At 43.1% G+C, this 26,268-nt stretch overlaps 2 protein-coding genes across 3 annotated transcripts in view, besides 7 other annotated features; one reads left to right on the plus strand and one right to left on the minus strand.

Annotated features, from left to right (window-relative positions):
• Nucleotides 1-1,437, plus strand: part of KDELR3 (KDEL endoplasmic reticulum protein retention receptor 3) — a 15,352-nt gene extending 13,915 nt beyond the window's left edge. The window contains exon 5 of the mRNA NM_006855.4: nt 486-1,437. Within this exon, the coding sequence (NP_006846.1) occupies nt 486-526 (41 nt within the window). The 3' untranslated portion in view covers nt 527-1,437. The remainder of the gene's footprint in view (nt 1-485) is intronic.
• On the minus strand, nt 1,428-24,301 carry DDX17 (DEAD-box helicase 17). Of its 2 annotated transcripts, none has more exons than NM_006386.5 (13): nt 23,941-24,301; nt 19,120-19,270; nt 17,390-17,489; nt 16,430-16,563; nt 16,075-16,140; nt 13,786-13,927; nt 12,876-13,036; nt 12,620-12,792; nt 12,011-12,121; nt 11,700-11,761; nt 10,046-10,105; nt 5,869-6,105; nt 1,428-4,430 (listed from the first exon to the last, which is right to left on the minus strand). In NM_006386.5, exons 1-13 carry the CDS (start codon nt 24,225-24,227, stop codon nt 3,925-3,927), a joined length of 2,190 nt encoding a protein of 729 aa, NP_006377.2. In that variant the 5' UTR covers nt 24,228-24,301; the 3' UTR covers nt 1,428-3,924. The 2 variants fall into 2 exon arrangements, with proteins under 2 accessions (NP_006377.2, NP_001091974.1); NM_001098504.2 differs by having other exon boundaries at nt 5,863-6,105.
• Nucleotides 23,366-24,257: an enhancer, noted in NCBI's record as "NANOG-H3K27ac-H3K4me1 hESC enhancer chr22:38901381-38902272 (GRCh37/hg19 assembly coordinates)". NCBI's record gives its function as "activates a minimal SCP1, AML or CMV promoter by ChIP-STARR-seq in naive H9 embryonic stem cells {active_cell/tissue: H9 hESC(naive)}" and the evidence as "EXISTENCE:reporter gene assay evidence [ECO:0000049][PMID:30033119]".
• Nucleotides 23,366-24,326: a biological region, named in NCBI's record as "NANOG-H3K27ac-H3K4me1 hESC enhancer GRCh37_chr22:38901381-38902272".
• Nucleotides 23,577-23,746: a silencer, noted in NCBI's record as "silent region_13721". NCBI's record gives its function as "represses an Ori minimal core promoter by ATAC-STARR-seq in GM12878 lymphoblastoid cells {active_cell/tissue: GM12878}" and the evidence as "EXISTENCE:reporter gene assay evidence [ECO:0000049][PMID:35858748]".
• Nucleotides 23,777-24,046: a silencer, noted in NCBI's record as "silent region_13722". NCBI's record gives its function as "represses an Ori minimal core promoter by ATAC-STARR-seq in GM12878 lymphoblastoid cells {active_cell/tissue: GM12878}" and the evidence as "EXISTENCE:reporter gene assay evidence [ECO:0000049][PMID:35858748]".
• Nucleotides 24,137-24,326: an enhancer, noted in NCBI's record as "active region_19011". NCBI's record gives its function as "activates an Ori minimal core promoter by ATAC-STARR-seq in GM12878 lymphoblastoid cells {active_cell/tissue: GM12878}" and the evidence as "EXISTENCE:reporter gene assay evidence [ECO:0000049][PMID:35858748]".
• Nucleotides 24,258-25,149: an enhancer, noted in NCBI's record as "NANOG-H3K27ac-H3K4me1 hESC enhancer chr22:38902273-38903164 (GRCh37/hg19 assembly coordinates)". NCBI's record gives its function as "activates a minimal SCP1, AML or CMV promoter by ChIP-STARR-seq in naive H9 embryonic stem cells {active_cell/tissue: H9 hESC(naive)}" and the evidence as "EXISTENCE:reporter gene assay evidence [ECO:0000049][PMID:30033119]".
• Nucleotides 24,727-25,136: an enhancer, noted in NCBI's record as "active region_19012". NCBI's record gives its function as "activates an Ori minimal core promoter by ATAC-STARR-seq in GM12878 lymphoblastoid cells {active_cell/tissue: GM12878}" and the evidence as "EXISTENCE:reporter gene assay evidence [ECO:0000049][PMID:35858748]".

A 26,268-nucleotide genomic window follows, 5' to 3' on the forward strand; every position in this document is an offset into this window, starting at 1 on the left:
GACAAGCTTGACCTAGCGCCTCGTAGGCCAGGGTAAGGGGCTTGCACTACATTCTGATTGCCAAGGGCAGGTATTGGGTCATTAAAAAACCCAATCCACTAGCTGCTATGTAGGGTAGAAAGCAGTCCAAGTACAGTGACTAGCTATGGGGCAGTTGCAGTTGATCAGGAAAAAGGCTCTAGGTAGAAAGACATGTGGACACAAGTTCTAGGACTTGAGAAGGACTGCTGATTTGATTGTATGAGATGTACAATAGACAATTTGAGGCCAATCGCTAAGTTTACAGCTGGGGGGAAGGGTGCCAGTAACCAAGTCGGGGATCAGTAGGTCCATAGTCAACCGGAGATGGACTCCCCCTTTGCTTTAACAATCGAACATATACTGTGAGCCGGCCATTAAGAGATGATACCAAGATTATGCATCAAGTTATAAAGCAGTCCTTTCATCAGATGGTAAATTCTTATTTCATCTCCATTTTCTTCCAGTCCTTAAGGGAAAGAAGTTAAGTCTTCCAATGCCAATCTGAGGACCTTCAGAGACAGTCTACGCCTTAACAAGCACATGAAGGAAACTATTTTGAATGTTCTCTTTGGCAACTTATCCATAATTTGGGATCAAATGTTAAAACCAGAAAAGTGTTTAGTGTGGATTTCAGCAAAACCTGATCATCCCACCCAGAAGACCTTCTCATCAATAGATCGCCCTTAAAGACCCATTGTAAGGTCATAAAAAACCTCGGCCACCTGCACAAAGATGGTGCCTCACTGCAACAAGAAACCTTAAGGTGTCTTACCGACGAAATAAAAAACATAAATGATTGTTCTCCAAGGCCTGAGGGCAAGACTCATGATGAGCAAGTCAACCCCAATCTGGAACAATGTCCCTCCTCTTAGAATGTCCCAACTAAAGACCAGTTAAAATATTAGGGTACGTTCTTGTGAATTTCCACTTTCCAGGTAGATGACCAAATTTAGGTGGTCAAGATATAAAGGTGTCAGCTAGTTTTAAGTGTGAAACTTATTTCACTTTCACACTGCCTTCAGGCCAGAAGCAAACCAAATTTACCAGGTTTGGCTGGAGGAGTTTTGTGACTCATCTTTTACTGGTTTGAATTTTTTCAAACCAGTGGCTGATACCTGCCTTGTACTTAGTACCTTAATACCAATAACCTAATGGTACTTAGGCGAGTACCATTTGCACAATCACTGTTTTACTTATGAGCAGATACAGATATATCCAAACCCTTACCTACTAGGTATCCTGCTAGGGTTTTCAATTCCAATTCTTGTATTAAGTTTTTTCCTTTCAGTTTTAGGTGCGAAAGTAATCAGTCAATCCAATATCCCCCATCTTTGTCTTGAAACAAAAACTGTTTTAAGACGTCTACGTTGAATTATTCAGAGAATTAAGCAATAAAAGCTCACACCTTATTGTCAACAGTGTTTTTATTTATACCTACAAAAAGAAAACAAGATGATGGTATCAAAAGGACAATTTACAAACTAAGAATAGTAACATAGCTTTCAGCATCCTGTGCCTGAACATCACACATCTACAAGTCTTTCAAGTCTTAATGCAACAGGAATGTGTCTGGAGACCAGCAAGAACATCAATAGAGAGCACTGATCCCAAGCAAAAGCCACTAACCTTTTAGATGAGAAGTCCACACAACGAATTGTTAGGGAGGATTGGGGAGAAGCAGCCCATTGCTTAATACATTGGAACCCTTTCCCTAAGTTGAGTTTCAACCATGAATGCAATAACTAGCATAAAACGATTCTTCTGCTCATGTTCTGAAGCCAACAGCAGAACCTGAATTATAAGTGACAGACATGGAGGCAGAAGAGTTAAACTCTGCTAGATTTCAGCTGTGCTCAGGCCATAATAGTTTTTGAGGTTTGGAATTTACTGTTATTTTATGATTACAATGTCCCAGGTGGAAAAAGGGAAGCAAGCAATCCAAATAACCACTTGCTTGCCCAGAGACCTTTCCCTCAAACAGATGCTTTCAAGAGCTGCGAGAGAGTAGGGCATCCCTTGTGGTGGTACCTCTATGTTTAAAGAAAGAAGAAAAAAACCCAGAATTTGGTTGTAGAAAACAATGCCCACAACAGACTGGCCAGTGCTTAGACAAATTTGGGGTTGGGGGGAACACTTTGGTTTGAAAGCACAGAGCAGTTTGCCATGTTTCTTCTGTGCCTACCATTCTCCCTTGGCCTCAACTTCTGTAAGATGGGGGGGGGACAAAAAGAGAAGTAAAGTTAAGAAGAAAGTGGAAAATTAAAAAAAAAGATGTCAAAGTTTTTACATGCATATATTTCAGCTTATGCTGAAGACCTACCTGTATGTTGCACATTGAATCATACTTTCAGAACCCCTCAGAAACCATCCCTCTCTCCCTAAAGAATTTTAAAAGGAAAACAAAACCTCGAGTATAGATCTTACAGATGAGCAAGCATTCAGGCCTTAGCCAAAGAATGCAGTGGAGCCTTCCCCCTTCAACTGCATTGTGAATGAATACCAATTAACAGCATAAAAATTAATAGTCCCATATCAGATCTGGAAGGGGTTTCTGGGGCTGTCTGATGTCCCTATCCTGTTGTAGTGAACACAATAGCAGAAAATTCTTTCTGGGTCCATCTGCTATAAAGTCTTGGTAAAACAGCATTACCATGAAGAGGATGAACTCACCTACCTTCAGATGGAGGAAAAGTGAAAAGGACTTAGGCTTTAGTCCTCCATGACTTTTCTTAAGCACTACCTACCTGTAATAAGCTGAGTGCAAAAGGATGCCGAAGAAAATCTGCACCCAGAAGCTGTTAGAAAGCACTGCAGAGAACAGGGTATGAAGAAAATAAAGAGTTCTTAATAAACCCTTAAGATTCTTTGTTCAAGGTAACTTTGCCAAAAGGGCAGAGTAGGTGGCAAAGAGTTGCTTTTAATCTAGCTCTACACTGCATTTGAAAATAAAATTTGCCCATTTTGAATATATTGTTTATAATTAAATGTGCTTTTTACACTGCAGGTCAATATAAAAACTGGTTAGTAAATTTCCAGCGAGCATTTATGTTCATTTGCTCACAGCAGCTGTCTGGATGGAAAATTAATTTCACAGATGGTCCCCAGTTAAACTGGGAAGAAATATAGGCAGCTTCCACCCAGATGCTGAGATGCTACAGTTTAACCACTACAATAAACACTTGTGGTTTTTAATTTAAAGGATACACAAAACTCAGCAATTCAATTTCTAGCCTGACACTAAAATGGTTATTTTTCAGTAACGGGGGGAGAAGTGGGGAGGCAGAGTGTGAAGGGAAATAAAACCAATTAGTAATTTTTAACTATCAAATGCACTCCAGCAATCAGTCAAAACAGGCCCGAGGAAACCTGTTCCAACTTAAGAAACATTTAAAAGCACAAAAGAAAATGTGCAGGGCAATCCCTCTTTGTTTTCTAACCCAGTAATGAGAAATTTAAAGCACAGATGCCATCTTCCTCTGCAAAACAATTCAGCCCTCCCCCTCCCTCCCTCCCCACCAACTCAGAAAAACAAAACATGGGGCTCCCACAAAAGGGCCTAATACCTTACTCTTTTAGATGAAAAATAGCTCAAATATCTTCAACATGCAAGAAGTTGGGGGAAGAAATTAATCTCTTCCAGTCAGCTATATATATATATATATATTTTTTTTTTTTTTACAAAATGTTATTCCAGACTGGATCATTTTGGTGGGCAGAAGAAACCTGGCAGTGAATTCTAACTAATCTGCATGAAAAGACAAATCACGATGGTTGGGGGGAAAAATTAAAAAAAAAAAAAGAAAAAAGGAAAAAAAAAGAAAAGGCGAAGAGGAAAAAAAAAGGAAAGACAGTGTTCCTTAAAATGTAATTAAGTCTGCTGGAGTCACTACCACTTGAGTGGTTTCATTTACGTGAAGGAGGAGGAGGGGGAGGAGGAGGAGGGTATTGGTAGGCAGTCTGCCCCATGTAACCTATCATATTGGTAGCTCCCGGAGGCTGTGCAAACTGTTGTGACATCAGTGGCTGTGGCTGCTGCCCAGACCGGCCTATCCCACTAAACTGCTGGCTAGAGCTCTGTGAACTTCTCCCAGTTGAGGTGGTGCTACTAGCTCCATAAGTGCCAGCACCATATTCTTGAGCTGTATAGCTACTGGTGCCATAAGCAGCTGCCCCATAGGTGCCTTGACCATAGGTGTATTGGCCTGCTTGTGCTCCAAAGGCAGAATTTGGACTTCCATAGCCACTGCCATTAGCATAACCAGCTCTATCGGTTTCACTACGATCCCGATAGCTTGCAGAGTCTCTCCGGCCACCATCCTTGACTCCTCGAAGCCTTCGGTCACACTCATCCTGATACATCAGATTGGGATTGTTGGCTGAAGAAGTGGTCCGGTAACGAGAACGACCACCTAATGGGAAGATACAAGAAGATTTTTAATGGCAGATATAGGACCTAAACATAACAATGTAAAAATTCTACTGGGTACAAAAGTATTAAACATGTCTCCTTGATATTTAGTTATGCTGGCCAGCCTCCCAATTAGTACTGTAAAAATATACTCATAATTTGATTCTTTAATGGGGCACATTCAAAAGCACAGTAAAAATTAAAGGACACTAGACCTTTTCACCCTTTTAGGCCCCTTACTTGAGGATGATCAAGAAACACGGTATTACAATATGAAACCTTGAGTCAGGAAGCCCAGATCCTAGGATATTCTGCAACTGTAGATGCAACTGCTATGTCTCAGTTTCTACCCACCACTAAACAGTGTAAAATGACTGACCTCTCCGTATGGAAAACTGGAAACCTAATATACTACTAAGCATTTTTGAAAGTATTAAAAAAGCAACCATGACCGGGGGCACACTGGCTCACTCTCGTAATCCCAGCACTTTGGGAGATCAAGGCAGGAGGGTCACTTGAGGTCAGCAGTTCAAGACCAGCCAACATGGTGAAACCCTGTCTCTACAAAAAATACAAAAATTAGCTGGACATGGTGGCACATACCTGTAGTACCAGCTACTTGGGAGGCTGAAGCAGGAGAATCACTTGAACCCAGGAGGCAGAGGTTGAAGTGAGCCGAGATCGTGCCACTGCACTCCAGTCTGGGCAACAGAGTGAGACTGTCTCTGCCCCCGCCCCGCCAAAGCAACCACATTAAAACTCAGACCAGCCTCAGCTAGGTTTGGTGGCTCACTCCTGTAATCTCAGCACTTTGGGAGGCCAAGACAGGTGGATCACCAGAGGTCAGGAGTTCGAGACCAGCCAGGCCAACATGGTGAAACTCCACAGACCAGCCTCAGCTAGGTTTGGTGGCTCACTCCTGTAATCTCAGCACTTTGGGAGGCCAAGACAGGTGGATCACCAGAGGTCAGGAGTTCGAGACCAGCCAGGCCAACATGGTGAAACTCCACCTCTACTAAAAATACAAAAATTAGCAGGGTGTGCTGGCGGGTGCCTGTAATCCCAGCTACTTGGGAGGCTGAGGCAGGAGAATCACTTGAACCTGGGAGGCAGAGGTTGCAATGAGCTGAGATCGCGCCATTGCACTTCAGCCTGGGCGACAGAGCAAGACTCCGTCTCAAAACAAACAAACAAACAAAACCAAACCTCAGACCAGTCTCTAAGAAAAAAAAATTCACAATTTAGCTTAACTAATAGGACTATCACAACAAACTTCACGTTTTCTTAGTTGAAAAAGGTTATAAAAAGCATTAGGCAGTGTCCTTTGCTATTAAGCAACATACTTACAGCCTTCTTAAAAACAGCAACTAAAAGCAAGTCACAGAAGGCGTAAAGAGATACCTTGGCAGTACCTGGAAAACTCCAGGACTTACCCTTACCCCCGCCTCCGCCGCCTCCTCTGTGGTCCACAAGCTGCATCAGTTTTGGATTGATAGCCTGATTGGCCTCTTCCAGCACTTTGATAAGCTCTCTGGCCTGTTTTAGGTTCCCTGGGGTGAAGAAGGTATAGGCGGTACCCTTGTTGGTGCTACGGGCTGTTCGGCCAATACGGTGCACATAATCCTCTGAGCTGTTTGGATAGTCATAGTTGATCACAAACTTGACATCTTCCACATCTTCCACGTCAATGATGAGTCAGTGTGTAGGTTGATGTGGCAGGGAAAGAGAAGGTAAAGGACATGCCAACAACAGGTGGGAAGCACGAATGCAGATGACAGCAAGAGGAAAGAAGGTGAAGTTAGTAACCACTCTGAACAGAAACAAAAAAAGACTCATCCCAACAGAGTAAAAGAGGATTACTGATTCCTGGGACATGCATAGGAAATAGGATCTTTATTGGCTGTAGAATCCTAAGGGAATCCCATCCAAACATCCAAACTCCTGCCTCTGCTACATTTTACCAATATACTGACAGGAGTTACACCAATATTGGTCTTCAGACGCAAATTCCAGTACTATCCTTTACAAAACCAGAACATAGAACAAAGTGGTAAACCACTGTGAAGTTATGAGGCCAAATCACTTCTACTCTGTTGGGAGAAGCCTGGCAAAATCTACCAACAACATAACAAACTTACCTTTAAACCAGTCACAGAGCAAAGTAAAAAAAGGAGCTTCATATATTTTATTACTACAATTTAAAGGAAACTTAAATGTTTTGATTAACATTTAACTTTTTTTGCTCTTATCTTTTTAAGAAACTGAGTAGAGCCAAAGCTGTTAAGTACACACCTATTTTCCTTTGCAGAAACATCCAGATTATCTATCCCCTTTCAATTACAAGAGCACATTACACTAAAATTTTACTGTACTACCAAGCCCAGCTTCTGCCAAAATGAGGATATTTTTGCTCAACTCAAGGTTATTTCAACTCAGGACTTGTTTCAATTATCAATGATTGTCTACGTGACCTGGGAAATTAAATTAATAGCCAAAGAACGTGGGAAAACCATGAAACCTTGAGACACAAGTTTAGTATTCTCTCTACTGCTGGGAATTGGGCTGAATAACCTCCTAAGGCTTAAAATGTAAATGTTAGTGTAATGCTTTCAGCTGAATGTATATTTTTACCTACTTAAACAAACAATTTTAAGAATATAACAAAGAATCCTACTGTTTTGTGGAAAAAAATCTGCATTTTACAAAGAATATTCAGAAAATATCCTAGATAAAACACAGATTTTTGTGATATAAATAATTAAAAAACATTCTCTGTTTGTTACCAGACCGATGCACACTCCCTCCTCCTTTGGGAAACCGCTGCAGCCGATCCCGTCTCTTTGCCTTTTATTTTTGGCGGCCTCCTTTCGAAAACTCCGCCTTCTGACACGGGACCACTGGAGCGCGGGGAGCATGCATCAAGGGTCCGTGGCAGTGAGAAGTCCCCACACACGCTCGCTCTGTGAACTGGCTTAGATGCTTCTCTGTAGCCCCATTTGGTTGCCAAGCGCCGGAGAACCTGGGTTCGGGTAAAAATTTCAGGTCCTCCAACGCCTCCCCCAAGGATAATTGGGGTGATTGTAGAAAAAAATAATTAATAAAAAAAAATGTAAGTTACATCCAAAGGGTCAGACTGCATCTATTGCCCAGACTGGATTAATTTCAAGGGAGAAAGGGGAGATTAAAAAAAAAAAATTAGCTGTTGTTACAGGGCTTGTGAAGAAGGGGCATTATGTCTGTTTCTTATTACAATAAAGGCTCCTCGGTCTTTACTGACCCCTAAAGTCCTGAATCACACCAGAAAGACGAGAAGGCACTTATCACAGGGGGCAGCTTGAGTCTCCGGCTAGGGTCGTTGACGCAACAAAGGAAAAAAGAATTTACAGGGCCAGGGTGGATGTAAGACAGGGGGTGGGGAATTCTACTCCATGGTATCTTCAGAGCTAGGATAATGCTCCTTATGCAATCCCACTGCATATGACCATGGCAGTAGAACAAGTTCAATTACTACACTGGATGCGTTAAGTGTGCTTTCCTAGCAGAAAGCACCAGGGTGGAGTCAACAGTTCACATGCTAATACTTGGAAGTATTTCTAGAAGGGGGTGCTCAATAGAGGGCAGACATGATGCAAGTTCTTCATACTAGAAAGGTGTCCTGTGTGTGCATGCACAGCTGGATGGGGGCACACAGGAGCAAGCGCAGAATTTGGTTTTCTCCAGTCAAGTCTACCCTGATGTTATCTGTGCACTGCCACAATATTATCTTGCTGCCTTTCTAGAAGATGCTGTAGCAGGGTAAGAAATCCAAAGTTAATGTTTTGGCCAGCTGACTGGGATAAGAACCTTTTGTCTGAAAGGCCCTATGACATGGCCTGAATCGCCAATCACTAATAAGGAGGGACTAAGTCTAGCCAAGAGGCTCATCTAGAGCTGCTTCCGGCCAATGTAGATTTGTCTCGGCCATGTATTGAGTGATCTGCAGCTGATATCAAAGCTTCTGTTAAAAAACAAAACAAAATAAATTCAATACTTTTAGTTTAACAGTGTGTAGTTCAAACAAAAAAAAGGAAAAATAAAAAATATCCCAGTGGAAAGGGAAGTGGTAGCCTAAGGATGACTATTATAAAATTATGGGAATCAAAGAACTTACCTGAAGGGAACATTTAAGAGACCATCGCTTGACAGGAAGTGAAAAAAGGCCCTGGTGACTCAGCTGAAAATTGCACCCCTGTCTATGAGGTAGAAGCCTTCACTTTCCAGGATCTTGTAGGACATTGGTCAGAATTCTGCCATTTTGGTGGGTTTTCTCCCTCTTTTGATTTTTTACAAGGCAGCAAACAAAGGGGCCCAAAACAAGCACTGATGTTGAGTAACAAGAAACAGACTCGGGTACCTTCCCTCTCCCCTCACTTGGATGAGTGGGGGTGGGATGAAGAGTCTAAGTTATTCTAATGGTAGCCAATTAATTTGGTTTAGAAATGCAAGGGGACATGGAGCAAATATTTTTAATTGTCTAGGCAAGATGCACAAAGAAGCTACCAGCACATAGCAAGCCTGTTTAAAAACCAACCATTACTGAAAGCTTTATGTAAACTGCTTTCAGGCCTCCGCCTCCTCTCCCAACAGGCCCAAGTTCTAATGGCACAGATCCAGACATGACCTCAGAGGGCAGAGGGGCAGAGAGAACTTTCCATCATGGCTGCAGGTCACCACCTCTGAAGGAGGGAATGATGAGTGCAATGCATAAAAAGGCTTCATTACTTTTGTATTCCAGTTTGAATACCTGTTCTCTTTATATTATATAGTATAAGGGAATAATATGGTACTTCTCACCTTACTGGGCAAATTAAATACCTGTCAATAATTTAAGGATTTCCTTGTAATACAAATAATCTTTTTTTTTAAAATATAGAAGTTCTGAGTTAGACCTGTTTAGCTCAGAATAGTGGGCTAAACTACCATAAAATTCTCTGTATATCTTAAATGGTAATGGGTCAAAAACTCCAGAAAATCATCAGTTGATAACACACCTACAGATAAGTGCATGGGTAGGAGGGGATAGCCAAGTGCCCATGATAATTTGACCTCAGTAAATTAAACTGGGCAATACACATATTTGCTATTCTGATACTGCATTAGACTTATAAAATTCCATCTAATAAGCATTCATAAAACTGGACCTCTCTGTATATATCTAGCTTAGACAGGGATAGGGAAAAGAATAACTGAAGAAACTAGCTTACAATAGCTAGGTTTCGTCAGGCTTATTCTATCCAGCCAGAAACCACCACCAGAGAGAAGCTGAGCCATTCAGCTGTCTGTCTCCTCTCCCTCTGTTTGAATAGTCATGCCTAGGCCTTGCTGCAGACCAAAGCCTGTTTGTTAGGAGCAGGAAGAGACTTTGAAAATAAAAGGGGGGTGGGGGAAACCAAAGTTAAAAAAAATTGTGGGGGGGGCAGGGAATGGGGAGAATCACGCTTTGTATTTTTTTCTTTCAAATATTTATCTAACCACATGTATATACAACTTTCTAAACTTGAAGTCTGAATTTGAAATGACGAATCTTTAAACCAAAAGATACATATACCATTGACAGAGACACCTATCTATACAAACCTAGCCCACGGGAGGCTACATCTGTAGCAATAAGGATGGGTGCCTTTCCAGAACGGAACTCTGTAAAAACAAACAATAATCATCATCAAATAAGCATTCCTTGCTATCTGATCTGTTTACATAACCATGTTAAAATTTCAAATAATGGTGCCAGAAAATCCCAAGCTCTTGTAATGACTGACAGTGATTCTTTTGAAAATCTTTATTACACTCATATTCAGCAGCACAATAGTTACCTCTACTAATAATGAAATACCGTTAAGAGAGTGTGGCAATTTGTTACATAATTAATATGAGCTAGATTTTTTTCCCCTTAAAGTTATTTCCCAAATGAGACACAACCAAAAGTTGGGGGTCAGTAGGAAACAAGTTCAAAAGATGTAGAATGAAAAGAACTGAATTTCCCCCCAAAAGGTATGCATATTATTTATTTTTCTTTCTTTTTTTTGAGATGGAGTTTCGCTCTTATTGCCGAGGCTGGAGTGCAGTGGCGCAATCTCAGCTCACCGCAACCTCCACCTCCCGGGTTCAAGCGATTCTCCTGCCTCAGTCTCCCAAATAGCTGGGATTACAGGCATATGCCACCATGCCCGGCTAATTTTGTATTTTTAGTAGAGACGGGGTTTCTCCATGTTGGTCAGGCTGGTCTCGAACTCCCAACCTCAGGTGATCCGCCCACCTCAGCCTCCCAAAGTGCTGGGATTACAGGCGTGAGCCACTGTGTCCGGCCACATTTTATTTCTTAAACAAAATATGGCCTCTTCCATTTCTCAATGGCTTCCCTTAAGAGTAGTCCTGAAAAAAAGGACTGAAAGGAAATATGCTAAAATATGACTCATTAAGAAACATTTTTCTTTAAATATTTCAGTAACAGTTTAATTCTCCCCAAACGGTAGTTATATTTTTATAATCAGAAGGAAAAAATTGAAGACTTTATTAATAAAGGGAGGGTGGTGAAAGTTGTGAAAAAGTTTAAAGAGCCAGCATCGTGGCCCTTAAAGAACCATGAGCACACGCTAAAAGTACCCTCAGTAATTCAATCAACTATACAACAGGGGTAAGACAAACTGGCCTTTGGGCCAAATCTGGCACAACGCCTATTTTTGCAAATAAATATTGTCTGAACATAGCCACGTTTATCTCTTTGAGACAGGGTCCCACCCTGTCACCCAGGCTGGAGTGGCACGATCTTGGCTCACTCCAACCTGTCTCCTAGACTCAAGCAATCCTCCCACCTCAATCTCCGGAGTCGCTGGGGTTACAGGCGTGCACCACCAAGCTTGGCTAAGTTTTGTTTTGTTTTGTTTTTCTTTTAGAGACAGGATTTCACTATGTTGCCCAGACCGGTCTTGAACTCCTGGGCCTAGGTGATCCACGCGCCTCAGCCTCCCAAAGTGTTAGGATTATAGGCATGAGCCACCAACGGTGCCCAGTCCAGGCCACTTCTTTACATATTATCTACAGCCTACAGCTTTTGTCCTAAAACAGCAGTGCTGAGTGGCTATAACAGAGACCACCATTTGGTTTACAAAGCCAAGCATACTTACTATGTGGCCCTTTACAGAAAGTTTGCCTATCCCTGAAATAGAGCATGAACATTCACTTATGGGCAGGGGGTGGGGAATCAACAGAAAATGCTTAGTTTTAAACTTACCATTAAGTACCCAATCTCTTTCTGGTTGACTCTTGTCTCCATGGATACACATAGCTGGCCAACTATCAGAAGAAAAGTGACCAATATTTTAAAAATCTTTTAAAGTGGAGAAAATCGAACTTTAAAGCCAAATGCTATCATGCAATTTTTGTAAGGTTTGTCAGGCTTCATGAATAGATGACTGTGCTCATTAAAAGAGCAAACTGCATGGATAGGCATTATTGAAATATTACACAACATTTGGAATACCAATTTAGAAATTTCCAGTTAACTATAAAACCAGAGGTTAATTGCCTTGGTGCTATACTCACCCATCTCTGCGCATCCTTCGAGTCAGATCATCACAGCGTCTCTTTGTCTCCACAAATATTATTGTTTTGTTTTCCTTTTCAGCCATTATTTCTTCCATTAGTTGGATCAACCTGAAAACATGACCAACAATGCAGTCATCACACAGAAAGTTATTATGTGGACGATTATGTCTGCAATATCAACTCCCAAGGCTACAGTACTTTCTTTGCACATTACGCTTTTAAAATTTTTAATAACTATTAGAGTACTGAGTCAGGTTCTGCTATGTGCTCAAGAAATACTAACTCATACCATCCTCACAGCAAGTCTCATGTAAGTGGTATTACTCCCATTTCACAGATGAAGAAACTGCAGCACCAAGACACAAAATTGTGCAAAATTATACAGCTTGTAATCAGCAGAGCTAAATTTCAAACTCAAGAATTCAGAATCCTTGCATTTAACCATAATGCTCTGACAAATGATATGATGATGGATTATCAGAAACCTAGCAATGCTTTTAATGTTCTCAGGCCTCAAAATATACTGGTTTCTACAGTACTAATTTTGGAGGGTTATTAGAAAAGGTTTATCAGCATTATCAAATCAGAGTAAAATATCTTTCATACTTGTGGTCTTTTTCACTTTCCATGCAGACATCCACTATCTGGAGGATGTTGTGGTTGGCACTCAACTCCAGATTGCCTACGTTGATCTGGGTGTAATCACGAAGGAAATCCTCTGCAAGCTGTCTTACTTCTTTTGGCCAGGTTGCACTCCACATCAGTGTCTGCCTATCAGGCTATCAAAAAAGGAAAGGCTTTCTTTCAGGCTAAGGAACTTGGACAAATGGCATAAAGACTGCTTATTATTAGCTTTACACACCCTGATTTGGTCAACAATTTTACGGATCTGGGGTTCAAACCCCATATCAAGCATTCTGTCAGCTTCGTCCAATACAAGGTAAGTACATCGGCGAAGATTTGTCTTTCCTGACTCCAGGAAATCTATCAGACGTCCAGGAGTGGCTATGCAGATCTCAACACCTGTAAAACAAAACCAATGATCGAGCCAATCGACTAGGTGCAGTGGCTCACAGCTGTGTTCTAGCACTTTGGGAAGAGGAGGCGGGAAGATCGCTTGAGGCCAGTTCACAACCAGCCTGGTCAACATAGCAAGACCCCGACTCTACAAAAATGCAGCAGCAGCAGCCCTGGTGGCTGTACTCAATGCTGCAGAGAAGCTATTTTTTTTTTTTTTTTTGAGATGGAGTCTTGCTCTGTCACCCAGACTGGAATGCAGTGGCACGATCTCGGCTCACTGCAAGCTCCGACTCCCAGGTTCACGCCATTCTCCTGCCTCAGCCTCCCCAGTAGCTGGGACTGCAGGCACCTGCCACCACGCCTGGCTAATTTTTCGTATTTTTAGTAGAGACGGGGTTTCACCATGTTAGCCAGGATGGTCCCAATCTCTGGACCTCGTGATCCGCCCACCTCGGCCTCCCAAAGTGCTGGGATTACAGGCATGAGCCACCGCACTGGCCCAGAGAAGCTAAATTTTAACAAAGTAACCGCAAAACCATGTCAGGACTTATGTACAATCACCAAATCCTCACAAAGTTTCCAGCCATGCTGAACCTTCTCTCTCAAAATAGCTGTTTTAGTCACATCTGAGAATTTCTAAGCTGCTGAAATTCTGAGTTTATCACAAGAACCCACTTTTTTTCTCCAATTTCCTCCACAGGAATTGGTAAAGTAAGATAAACTAACAATTCTTTTACACTATATATTATTACCTCTTTCCAAGTCTCGAATCTGGGGACCTTTAGGAGCACCTCCATAAATACAAGTACTCTTCAATCTAGAACATTTGCCATAGTCATCGGCCACCTGCTGTACTTGCTGGGCAAGCTCTCTGGTAGGAGCCAGAACTAGACACTGAAACCAACAAAAAGACACTTGAGACCTCATCCAAGGTTTAAAAAAAAAAAAAAAAAAAAGAAGAAACAAAATACAAAAAGCTAATTTAATTCTTTGCTGTCTAATCTAGCACATTAAAAGTGATGGGGTGAAGATCAGAAGTGGGGAATATTAGCACAATGGAATATAGAAAAAAATTATTAGAACTTCATGTTTAGCATTTGGAATGATACTGGTATCCTCGTCACTTTTACTATGACACATTATCAATCATTATAGTTTATATATACTGTTTAAGTGGAGATATAGATTGTATTACCTGGTTTTAAGTATACAACTCTCATTTACAGGTTGAGCATCCTAAACCCCCAAAACCAAAATGCTCCAGCAAGCATTTACTTTGAGGATCATATTGGTCCTCAAAATTTGGATTTGTTTTGTTTTCTGAGACAAAGTCTCACTCTATCGCCCAGGCTGGAGTGCAGTGGTGCAATGAAGGCTCACTGTAACCTCTGCTTCCTGGGTTCAAATGATTCTCCTGCGCCTCAGCCTCCTGAGTAGCTGGGACTAGAGGCAGGCACCACCATGCCCAGCTAATTATTGTATTTTTGTAGAGATGGGGGTTTCCCCATGTTGGCCAGGCTAGTCTCGAACTCCTGACTTCATGTGATCTGCCCACTTTGGCCTCCCAAAGTGCTGGGATTACAGGTGTGAGCCACCATGCCTGGCCTAAAATTTGGAATTTTGGATGGTCATCCTGACTTAAACTGGCAGAATGACACATTCCTGACCTCTAATTTAAGCACATCACCAGGTAGATAAGGCAAAAACAATGAAAATTTACATGTAATCTGACAAGACTGTGTACAATCTGGCCAAATAATACAAAAATCAAGGTATCATATACCATTCAAATTAAATTATGAAACTTGCTTTATATACTGATCCATTAGATATCAACTAATAATAATGCTGTCAGACATATACTATGTATTATAAGTACTGCATTATTTCTTTTTGTGAATATCTTGAGACATATTGTACATGTTCATAAATATATAGGACAAATGCAAGCTTATTTCTTAAAAAAGTTAAGTAGGCCGGGCGTGGTGGCTCACACCTGTAATCCCATTATTTTGGGAGGCCGAGGCAGATCACCTGAGGTCAGGAGTTCGAGACCAGTCTGGCCAACATGGTGAAACCCCGTCTCTACTAAAAATACAAAAATTAGCTGGGTGTGGCGGCGCATGCCTGTAATCCCAGCTGCTTGGGAAGCCGAGACAGGAGAATCGCTTGAAGCCAGGAGGTGGAGGTTGCAATGAGCCGAGATTGTGCCAATGTACTCCAGCGTGGGCAACCAAGAGCGAAACTCCATCTCAAAAAAAAAAAAAAAAAAAAAAAAAGTACACATTCAATGCCAGGCGCGGTGGCTCACACCTGTAATCCCAGCACCTTGGGGAGGCCGAGGCAGGCAGATCACCTGAGGTCAGGAGTTCCAGACCAGCCTGGCCAACATGGTGCAAACCTGTCTCTACTAAAAATACAAACATTAGCTGGGAGTGGTGGTGCACGCCTTTAATCCCAGCTACTCGGGAGGCTGAGGCAGGAGAATGGCTTGAACCTGGCAGGCGGAGGTTGCAGTGAGCTGAGATCTCGCTACTGCACTCCAGCCTGGGCAACAAGAGTGAGAATATATCTCCAAAAAAAAAAAAAAAAAAGAAAGAAGGCTGGACGCAGTGGCTCATGCCTGTAATCCCAGCAATTTGGGAGGGCAAGGTGGGCTGATCACCTCAGGTCAGGAGTTTGAGACCAGCCTGACCAACACGGAGCGAACCTCCATCTCAAAAAAACACAAAAAATCAAAACAAAAAAACAAAAAAAACCACACCAAAACCAGAAAACACTTGATTTACTGCACAGTAAATGCCCATACAGCATGCATGGTTTCTTTAAGAGTAAGACTTTGGTTCAAATGTAAGCTCAGCTATTCAATTGCTGAGTGATCTTGGGTAAGTCATTTAATTCCAAGTAAGATGAGAATGAAACCATTTCCACCTATGGAGGGTGTGGTTAAGAGTACAAATGGATAATGTAAAGCACCAAGCCTAAATAGTCGCTAAATTGTAGTTTTTCTTAGAATTACAAAGAAACTGAAACACACTTACGATTGGGCCATCTCCCCTTTCCAAGTATGGCTGGTGGTTAATATGAACAATTGCAGGCAGGAGATACTGTGGAGGGGGGAAAGAATGACAACCTTACGCTTAGAAGTACAATCTTACTTAGATACTTAGTAATTACTGAATTAATGCATAAATAGGAAAGTGAAAAACAGAACTTACCACTGCTATATACAGGAAGCAATACAAATTTGAACATAAAATGCTTCCATATATTTAATAACTAAAATAGTATCTAACTATCTGAATGGCACTTCTACGAAGAACTGAGAACGTATGACAACTAGAATAGCAAAATAAGTTACCACAATATCAAGGATCTTCTCTTGCTCATACATACCGCCAACGTCTTCCCAGAGCCAGTCTGAGCAATGCCCACCATATCCCGGCCACTAAGAGCCAACGGAAATCCCTGGCACTGAATTGGAGTTGGTTCTGTAAAGTGCTGATCCATCAACACATCCATTACATATTCTGTAAGAGAATTTTATTTTGCGTATTTTATTGTGTTTAAAGACACAAACCAAGAGTTTTTAAAAAAACTTTTAAGCTCACTGAAGATAAGATTTACCCAGCTTCATCTCTCCAAAGTGCTTTTTCTTTATCTACTAGATCTCCGACCAACTCACTGTTAGCTTCTAAGGGCCAGGCTAGGTGGCTCACGCCTGTAATCCCATCACTTTGGGAGGCTGAGGCCAGTGGAGGCCAGGAGTTCCAGACCAGCCTGGTCAACATGGTGAACCCTGTCTCTACTAAAAATACAAAAATTAGCCAGAGTGGTGGTGGGCCCTTGTAATTCCAGCTACTCGGGAGGGTGAAGCAGAATCGCATGAACCCAGGAGGCAGAGGAGGTAGTGAGCTGAGATCGCGCCACTGCACTTCAGCCTGGGTGACAACGTTGAGACTCCGTTTCCAAAAACAAACAAACAAAAGCTGCTACAATAGTCTACCTCTCCCAGAAATTTGAAAAACCATTACCCTAAAGCATCTAACAGGACATGGGAACATGGTAGTCATTTATTGTTTAGCAAATTCACATTATATCCAGCTAGAAAGCAATTTCATTCTGCTGTTTTCTAAAAGGCAGAGGGCAAAACCCTAGAAAAAGACAAAAACCTCAAAAAAACAAAACAAAAACAAAACCTCAGTCTAAATACTAGAACAGAACTGATGACCATAAAAACAATCTCTTGTCCTTTCAACAAAACCCCAAGCCTGGCTCAAAGAGTTTAACCTACTACCCTTGTCTCCCATTCAACCCAATTTAACAAATTAAGGTTCTAGATTGAAGAACACTTACGTGGGAAGTTAGCATGATGGAAGGCAAACACGGGTTTAGGACAAACATCTCCCCCCCTCACTGTAATCTCCTTCTTTCGGCGTAGCTCATCAACCTCATACTATTGAAAAAAAATGAAAGAAGTTAGTAAACTAGTTATTCTAAACATTCAGAATTTATGTTCCAAGCTAGCTGAGCAATTATCCAGTCCACAGCTATGTTGGCAAATATTTAATAGTTTACATGGTACTTTCATGTGTATCACTTTAACTCTGCAAGGCTCCTACTTACTTTGTAAGTTAATTAATGATGTAGGTGATTAAGAGTTCCATTTTCTATAGGAGAAAAAAGATAAGTAACTTGCTCAAGGTCAGAATGAGAAGGAAAAAAAAGTGGAACTTGGACCCAAGTACTCTTTCCATTACACTTTCTTCTGAAAGAGTAACCATTTCATGTGTAGAGTCCAAAAAACAATGGTAATGAGGTACAAGAAGAGACAATGTTGGCTGGGCACGGTGGCTCCCACCTGTAATCCCAGCACTTTGGGAGGCTGAGGTGGGTGGATCACTTGAGGTCAGGAGTTTGAGACCAGCCTGGCCAACATGGTGAAACTCCGTCTCTACTGAAAAAAAAAAAATAAATAATAAATGAACCAGGCGTGGTGGCACATGTCTGTAATCCCAGCTACTCGGGAGGCTGAGGTGGGAGAATTGCTTGAACCTGGGAGGCAGAGGTTGCAGTGAGCCAAGATCATGCCACAGCACTCTAGCCTAGGGGACAGAGTGAGACTTCACCTCAAAAAAAAAAAAAGCCAATCTATCTTTTTCACTAACAGATGAAAAAACATGACCTAATATACAATATTTCAATCATGTATAATAAACAGATTAGTAAGCATTATCAACAAGAGAACAAATTAAATGCATATTTAAACTGGTCCCCTTTTATGAGTATTAGGGGTCTTAGATAAGAATGTAAGAAAGGCTGGGCATGGTGGCTCACACCCATAATCCCAGCACTTTGGGAGGCTGAGGCGGGCAGATCACAAGGTCAGGAGACGGAGACCAGTCTGATCAACATGGTGAAACCCTGACTCTTGCACTCCAGCCTGGGTGACAGAGCAAGATTCCGTCTCAAAAATAAAAAGAGGCTGGGCGTGGTGGCTCACGCCTGTAATCCCAGCACTTTGAGAGGCTGAGGCAGGTCGATCACCTGAGGTCCGAGGTCCGGAGTTTGAGACCAGCCTGCCCAACATAGTGAAACTCCATCTCTGCTAAAAATACAAAAAATTAGCCGGGCATGGTGGCGGGTGCCTGTGATCCCAGCTACCTGGGAGGCTGAGGCAGTAGAATCGCTTGAACCCAGGAGGCGGAGGTTGCAGTGAGCCAAGATCACACCATTGCACTCTAGCCTGGGCAACAAGAGCAAAACTCCGTCTCAAAAAAAAAAAAAAAAAAAAAAAAAAAAATCAGCTGGGTGCAGTGGCTCACGCCTGTAATCCTAGCACTTTGAAAAGCTGAGGCAGGTAGTTTGCTTGAGCTAGGGAGTTCAAGACCAGCCTGGGGAATATGGCGAAACCCGGTCTCTACAAAAAGGAAAAAAAAAAAAAAATTAACCAAAAAATTTTTTAAGAAAAATATCACCACACTAGAATAAAATGTAAAACGGCAACAGTAGCGTATGAATAAACTCTAACCAATATATCTACTTGGTTCAATAATCTGTACATTAAAACACACATGTAAACTTACTGGTGTCAGCCTTGCTACTTCCGGATGTTCCACATAAAAATTTTTCTCAAACTTGGGGAGCTCACTCAAATCCCACTTTTTTTTACGCAAACGCTCCCCAGGATTACCAAATTTCTTCGGGGGAAGGCCACCACCACCTCTTGCTCCAAATCTAGGAACAGAATTTTTAGTTAGTTCATCAGTATTTTTAAAGCAACGTATCGTACATGCCATAAGAATATTCAAAAAGGATGGAGTTCTAGGGATACTACCAGCCTACCTCCAAAAAGACCATTTTATTTGCTGTGATTTAAAGGTATGGAGAAATGTGTAAAACCTCCCTTACTACCCAACAATAAATACTGTTTATGAATATAGCTACAATAGGCAAAAAATTAAAAATCCCTTTATTGAGAGAAATACATCCTAGGGATTACAATCACAGATTCTGGATCCAGACATGGTTTGAGTTTTTATTCTGCCACTTACTGTATAATTTGAAGAGAATTATTTAACTTCCACACACCTTAGTTTCCTATGCAAAGTAGAAATAATACCACTTATTTCAGAGGCTGCTGAGAAAATGACCTAATAATGTGTAATGTACTATAAAAGTATCTGGCATAGCCAGCACTCAGTACAAGTTAGCATCATTTCATTCAACAAATAGTTATTAGGTACCAAGTTACTAGGTACCAAGTATGTATCGGCTACTGTTTGAAGTGGTGCTGTGCTGGAGTTACTAAACAAAACAGACACAAGTCTCTATTTTTGTGTAACAGACATGCAGGCAAAGGATGACATTAAGTTAAGTTTCAATTAAAGGGAAGATTGTGGACAAGAAGGAAGATACACTCCAAGCAAGTCCCTCAATCTTAGAATAGCTTCTTGGGCCTGCTCCCCTATTAAACTGTGATAAGCACTCCACCTGTCTGCTTATCTGCAAAGCAAAACTGGGTCTTGGAAAGGACTGGTAGACTGGTCTTCATTTTTAGCTTACGCTAATAAAAGAGCTGAGCCTGCCGGGGGCAGTGGCTCAGTCCTGTAATCCCAGCACTTTGGGAGGCGGAGGCCAGTGGATCACTTGAGGTCAGGAGTTTGAGACCAGCCTGGCCAATATAGTGAAACCCTGTCTCTTACTAAAAACACAAAAGAGTAGCCAGGCGTGGTGGTGCACGCCTGTAATCCCTAGCTACTTGGGAGGCTGAGGCAGGAGAACCGCTGGAACTCGGAAGGCGGAGGTTGCAGTGAGCTGAAATGGCACCATAGCACTCCAGCCTGGTAGACAGAGGGAGGGTCCGTCAAAAAAAAAAAAAAAAAGCTGAACATAGATTTATGACCTTTCCTTCTTCTTTGATCTCTACTTTTACCTTCTATCTCCTTCTTGTTCCCAAATGGTATTATTAATTTACAGAGAAAAAAACACTAACAAGACTTATTTAAGGCTTTAACACTCAACTAATTACTTAAGATCAACTTCTTGCTTTTTATATACCTTTCACAACAGACAAGCTCAAGAGGAATACAAATATGACCACTAGCCAAAGCTAATATTTAAGAAATCAGAAGCTACTTTTCCTAGAAGAATCTTAACACTAAGATGGCCTTAATTTTCCCTATTTCGATCTTGTAAAGTACAGGTCTTTGTTTGGCATACAAACTGTATAGCATTTTCTCAGTTTCTTTACTCCTTGTAAAATATTGTACTGAATTTAGTTCCCTTTTCCCACTCTAACCCACTTGTAACTTCATCTTATATAAAGTTCCACTTTATCATTGATAGGCAAGTAGGTGTATTATTCTACAGGGCCTCAATTTCCTGCAATTCAAAGCCATTAGAACTCTGGCTTAACCAGCCAGACATTCCTCTAAATACATACGTAACAAAAATTGATGGCAGGAGATTTTATTGGGATCACTGGATACCTACACTCAACAGGCAGAACTTGGCTAATTCCATTTATACCACTACTGAGACAGTGAAGACAAATTAAGAATCAGAACAGGAAGAGCACATAGCATAGGGATACCCGTGTCAGCGACATATTTAATATGCCCCTCAGCTTAAGACTCAATACTGAACAGACCAAAAGGCCACCTCAATTGCCGCTCCCGCCACACTTGCAAATGAAGCAGCTAAATAAGGTACTTTTCAAGAGGTAGAAAGTCTTTGGATTATCACTCTTGCAAATTATAAAAGACTTCATTGTTATTGCCACATTGCAATGCTACCCAAACCTTAGTGACTTAGGAAAAAATAAAACTTGAAAGTAAGATTCCTGTTAAGGCTTTAAACTGATGATTATCATTCATGTATTTTTTTTTCCTCTCTCCTTACTTCCCTGGCTATTTATTCAAGACATTCTATTCTACACTAAACATTTAATTTGAAACATGTGGTTCTTGGAAAATATGCCGTCTTCCATGTTTATAATTAATGCTGACATAATTAATGACCTCAAAATTCAAGAAAGCCTTTTACTTTTGAGCATATCCATGCCATCTTTAAATACGCACACTGTACTCTCTGGTATACTATGCTGCTCAAATGTTTTTATCCGGTCAGTAATTAGTTTAATTTGGCTTTACAAAAAAATTCACCTTTGAAGTCATATATTAACATTAAAAACCATACTACTTCAAATGTACAATGCCTATCATTTTTGCATCACACATGTGAAATACATGAACTGACCTCACCTATTCCTTTTTCAAAATAACCACCACTTCAACTGTGTAACACTCAGTTGAAACAACAGCAATTCAAATAATCAAGAACATTTCTTGGGAAAGGGAGAGTTGGGGCACAGATCTTATGAAAGAAGGCTAGTTCGTTTGAAATTTTTAAAAAATGTCATCTGATACTCAAAGTATGGATCAGTAATTCACTTTTTTCCTTTCAAATAACTTATTAAAGCATATATATGGTGAAAGGAAATATTAAACCAAACACCAATGGTAAAGAAATAGAACACTATTAGTAACTTGTAGCCCCTCTATGTGCCTATTTCAAGCTTACAACTTTCACCCTAATAACCACTACCTTGAATTTTGTTAACCACTCCCTTTCCTATCATATTTGCACATATCCTTAATTAAATGTGTCACCCTACCACAACGTGCTTTTTAACTCAACACTTCTGTGACTTATCCACATTAATCCAAGTTCTTTTCTCTTTTTCACGGCTGATTCAATTGTACGAATACCCACAATTTATGGAGACATTTGCGTTGTTTCCAATATCCTGTTAGCACGAATGCTGGTATATAAACTTTTCTGTACAAGGATCCTGGGGTACCTGTGCAAGGATTTCTCTAGGCATTACAGTCTAGGGTATAAAGCTTAGGGAGGAATTGCTGGGTCGTTTTCAACTTTCCTAGATAATCTCAAGTTCTTTTTCTAAGTCAATGAACTGAAATTCACTTCTAAACTTAGCAATACTGTCACACGCGAAGCAAACATTCCACCTCTCATCCTCTAAACAATGAGATAAAATATTTTCCTTCCTAATAAGGTATAAATCAAAATAATTTTGTAAAAAGTGGCAACTGAAGTGCTTGAGACTAGTAAATCCAGCAGTTGTGGATCTGAACCACAAAAGACAAAAACGTTTGGAGAAAATATCGTTAACAGAGCGCCTACTACAGTGAGACTATTACATCCATTATCTCTTAATTCCTGACAACACAGCAAAGTAAAGGCAATTATCACGTTCCTCAGAGGAAACAGGCTCACAAAAGGTAGGATCTTGACCAAGGTCACACACACACATATCAAGTGGCGTCACGTAACTCTTTGGGGAAGCGGGGGGGTCGGGGGAGACGGAGTTTCGCTCTTGCCACGGGCTGGAGTGCAATGGCGCGATCTCGGCTCACTGCAACCTCCTCCCCCCGGGTTCAAGCGATTCTCCTGCCTTGGCCTCCCGAGTAGCTGGGATTACAGGCATGCGCCACCAAGCCAGGCTAATTTTGTTATTTTTAGTAGAAACGGGATTTCTCCATGTTGATCAGGCTGGTCTCGAACTCCTGACCTCCGGTGATCCGCCCGCCTCGGCCTCCCAAATCGCTGGGATTACAGGCCTGAGGCACCACGCCCGGTCCACAATACCAAGAACTTTCTAGCGAGGCAGAATAGTTGACGCTGCAGTCCAATTAGAGAAAAAAGGCTGAAATATTAAGATTAAAACTAAAGTAACGACCCAAAAACCCATCCTTCCCCCAAACACGGTCATTTAGATGGCAAGCAACTCCACTGCTTTACATCCCAATGCATTTCCTCCGACTTAAAATATAACTGAAGAGAATTAAAATCTATTTCTAAAAATGAGAAGTTGGTCTTTTCGTCTCCCGTGCCTTAAACAGTGAACTCTGGGGAGAGAACGTCAAGGGTGCCATTTCGTGTAAGGCTTTCCTGGGCTGAAGTGTTCTCTCAGGAAGATCCGCGTTTTTCAGATGAACGCCGAGGCCTGGAGACATCGAACAGCCCGCCCGAAGCGGCCCGGCTCGAGAGCCGGGAAACCAGGCGAGGCGCCAAAGCCCGGGCCTGGGCTGATGCGGCCAGGCCGCCCCTCCCGATCCCCCGCGGGGCTGGGATGGGGCCGGGCCGCGCCACGACGGCCGTCCGCACGGAGAGGCCCAGCGTCGCCAAGCGGCCGCCCTCCTCGGGTCCCGAGTGACCCCGGGGCCGAGGTCCGCGCACGAAACCGCTGTCTCGCCTCGAGTCGCCTCCCCTCGCCTCCCGGGTCGAGAGCAAGGCTCCCAGGCTCGCAGTCCGCCGGGCCTCCCCAAGAAGCAACTCCCCCACCCCCACGCCAGGCCTCTCCTCTCCTCCCCCACCCTTACCCTCCACGGTCACGATCCCGGTCCCGGTCCCCAAAGCCTCCTCCGCGCATGGTCCCAAAAGGATAGAGATCTGGGAGCGGGGCACGGATGGCCGGGCTCGGGAGGGCCTGCGGCTCCGGTCTGGTGACGACCGATGGCGGCGGCGCCTCCGCTGTTGGGGCGGCGGCAGGCGCAGCGCTCTCTCGCTCCGACGCGCTGTCTCCCGTCGCAGACGCCACCGTCGCCGCCTCTCTCGTCGGAGACGGGAGCAAAACACAGAGAATCGGGGCTACAAAGCCGGTGGGCAGGTTTGGCTACGCTCAAACCGGGCAGTGCCGCGGTTTAGGCGTCTCCTTCCTTCCCAGCGACTGCACAAAATGGCGGCCGCCGCTGAGTCGGCTCCAACTTAACGCTGCGTACGGCGGAGACGATACGTAAACAGCGCCTCGGAATAGCCCGAGGGCTCCGCGGGGAACTACGGGTATTCTTGGAAGCACTTTACGTCAGTTGCGACGATGGGTGTATTTTGCGGTCTGTACAAGAAAAACAAAGTACGGAGCGAGCGTAGAGTTCTCGCGCCACCCGAACTAGAACGTGGGATGAGGTGGGAGGAAGCGCCTCTGGTGCGACGTAACATTCTTTGCGTCGTTAGCCGGCCTGCTGTTGCTAAGATGCGCAGTATGCGTAACGCATTCTGTTTAGAGAATAGAGGATTTTGCCTGATTCCGATCTCGGTACAGACCCCGCGGCCGGCTTGAAGAAGTTGCTTTGCAGAGACAATAACCGTCCTCCATATTGTTATCAAGTTTCAGAGTCCTCTGGCGCCAGAGGCCGGGAGGGTCTTAAATTCCGTGGCTGGCCTTCCTATATGGCGCCGCCAGCCCTCTCGCCCCACCGCCCTGGGCCCGCTGAGAATGGCGGCGGGCCCCGGCGCCATTTCCTTTCCGTTGCCTTTCGCTGCTCTGTCTCCGGCAGCCATGATGGAAGAGCCGTGTCCCTTTCTTTCCGGAGTTTGTGAGGTGGCGATGTCCCTTCCAGGTTAAAGTGCCCTCAGCTACATTTGGTTCACACTGAGGTGCATTTTCTGAACCGTATATTTTTACCGTCCCTGGCCGAGCACAGCTGTTGCTAATACAGAAACAAAATGTGCTTGGAGGCCAGGCATGGTGGCTCACGCTTGTAATACTAACACTTTGGGAGGCCGAGGCGGGAGGATCACCTGAGTCCCGGAGTTCGAGACCAGCCTGGCCAAAATGGCAAAACCCCGTCTCTACGAAAAATACAAAAATTAGCAGGACATGGTGGCGGGTGCCTGTAGTCCCAGCTACTTGGGAGGCTGAGGCAGGAGAATCGCTTGAACCCGGGAGTCGGAGGTCGCAGTGAGCCGAGAACGTGCCACTGCACTCCATCCTGGACGACGGGGCAAGAATCCGTCTCAAAAAAAAAATTGCTTGGAGCCCCAGTGGACTCCGTGGGCCCTTTGCTGCCGTTGAACGGCGCTCCTCAGAAGGCCCGGAGAAGACCCCAGCACTCTCAGGAGAACAAGGTTTCAGAGCGATGGTCTTTAGACACAGAAAGGGCGAAGGCTAAGGACAAGTGTTTAACCAGGCTAGTCCACGTTCTCCGCTCAATTCCTTCCAGACTGGCTTCCCTCTCCTTACCTGCTTCCTGTCGTCTCAAACTGCATTTTGAAGCCCCGCAAGCTTGGCCAAATGGCGTCACACGACTGTTGAGCTGTTAGGGCCCTCGAGACGGGCCCATCTAACGTCTCAATTCAACAGATGGGTAGAAGCGGGGAGATTTGGCCCCTCAGTGTGGGTGCTGAGTGTTTGTTTCCCAAATTTTTGGGAACATAGCATAAGAAAAGGAGCTTCAAAAAGAAAAAAAACATGGACCACTGATTTTTCTGTGGTTATGTGTTCTTTTTCCCCAAGTACGTTCTTAACATTGGCAAGTGAACCTCTTAAAGTGATTGAGACTCGCCTGGGTCATATTCTTTTTCTTTTTTTTGTCTGGAGTGCAGTGGCACAATCTCGGCTCACTGCAACCTCTGCCGCCCGGGTTCAGGCAATTCTCCTGCCTCAGCCTCCCGTGTAGCTGGGATCACAGGTGCTTGCCCTCGCACTTGGCTAATATTTGTAGTTTAGCTGGGGTTTCACCATCTTGGCCAGGCTGGTCTTGAACTCCTGACCTCGTGATCCACCCGTGTCGACCTGCCAAAGTGCTGGGATTACAGGCGTGAGCCACCGCACCGGCCTGGGTCATGTTCTTTTATTTACACTGTTAACCTGCCCCAATCCTCATCATCTCTTGCCTGGATGACTGCGCTCGCCTCTTTTTAATCTGCCT

The sequence above is a fragment of the Homo sapiens genome, chromosome 22 (genome assembly GCF_000001405.40).
Source record: "Homo sapiens chromosome 22, GRCh38.p14 Primary Assembly".
NCBI lineage: Eukaryota > Metazoa > Chordata > Mammalia > Primates > Hominidae > Homo > Homo sapiens.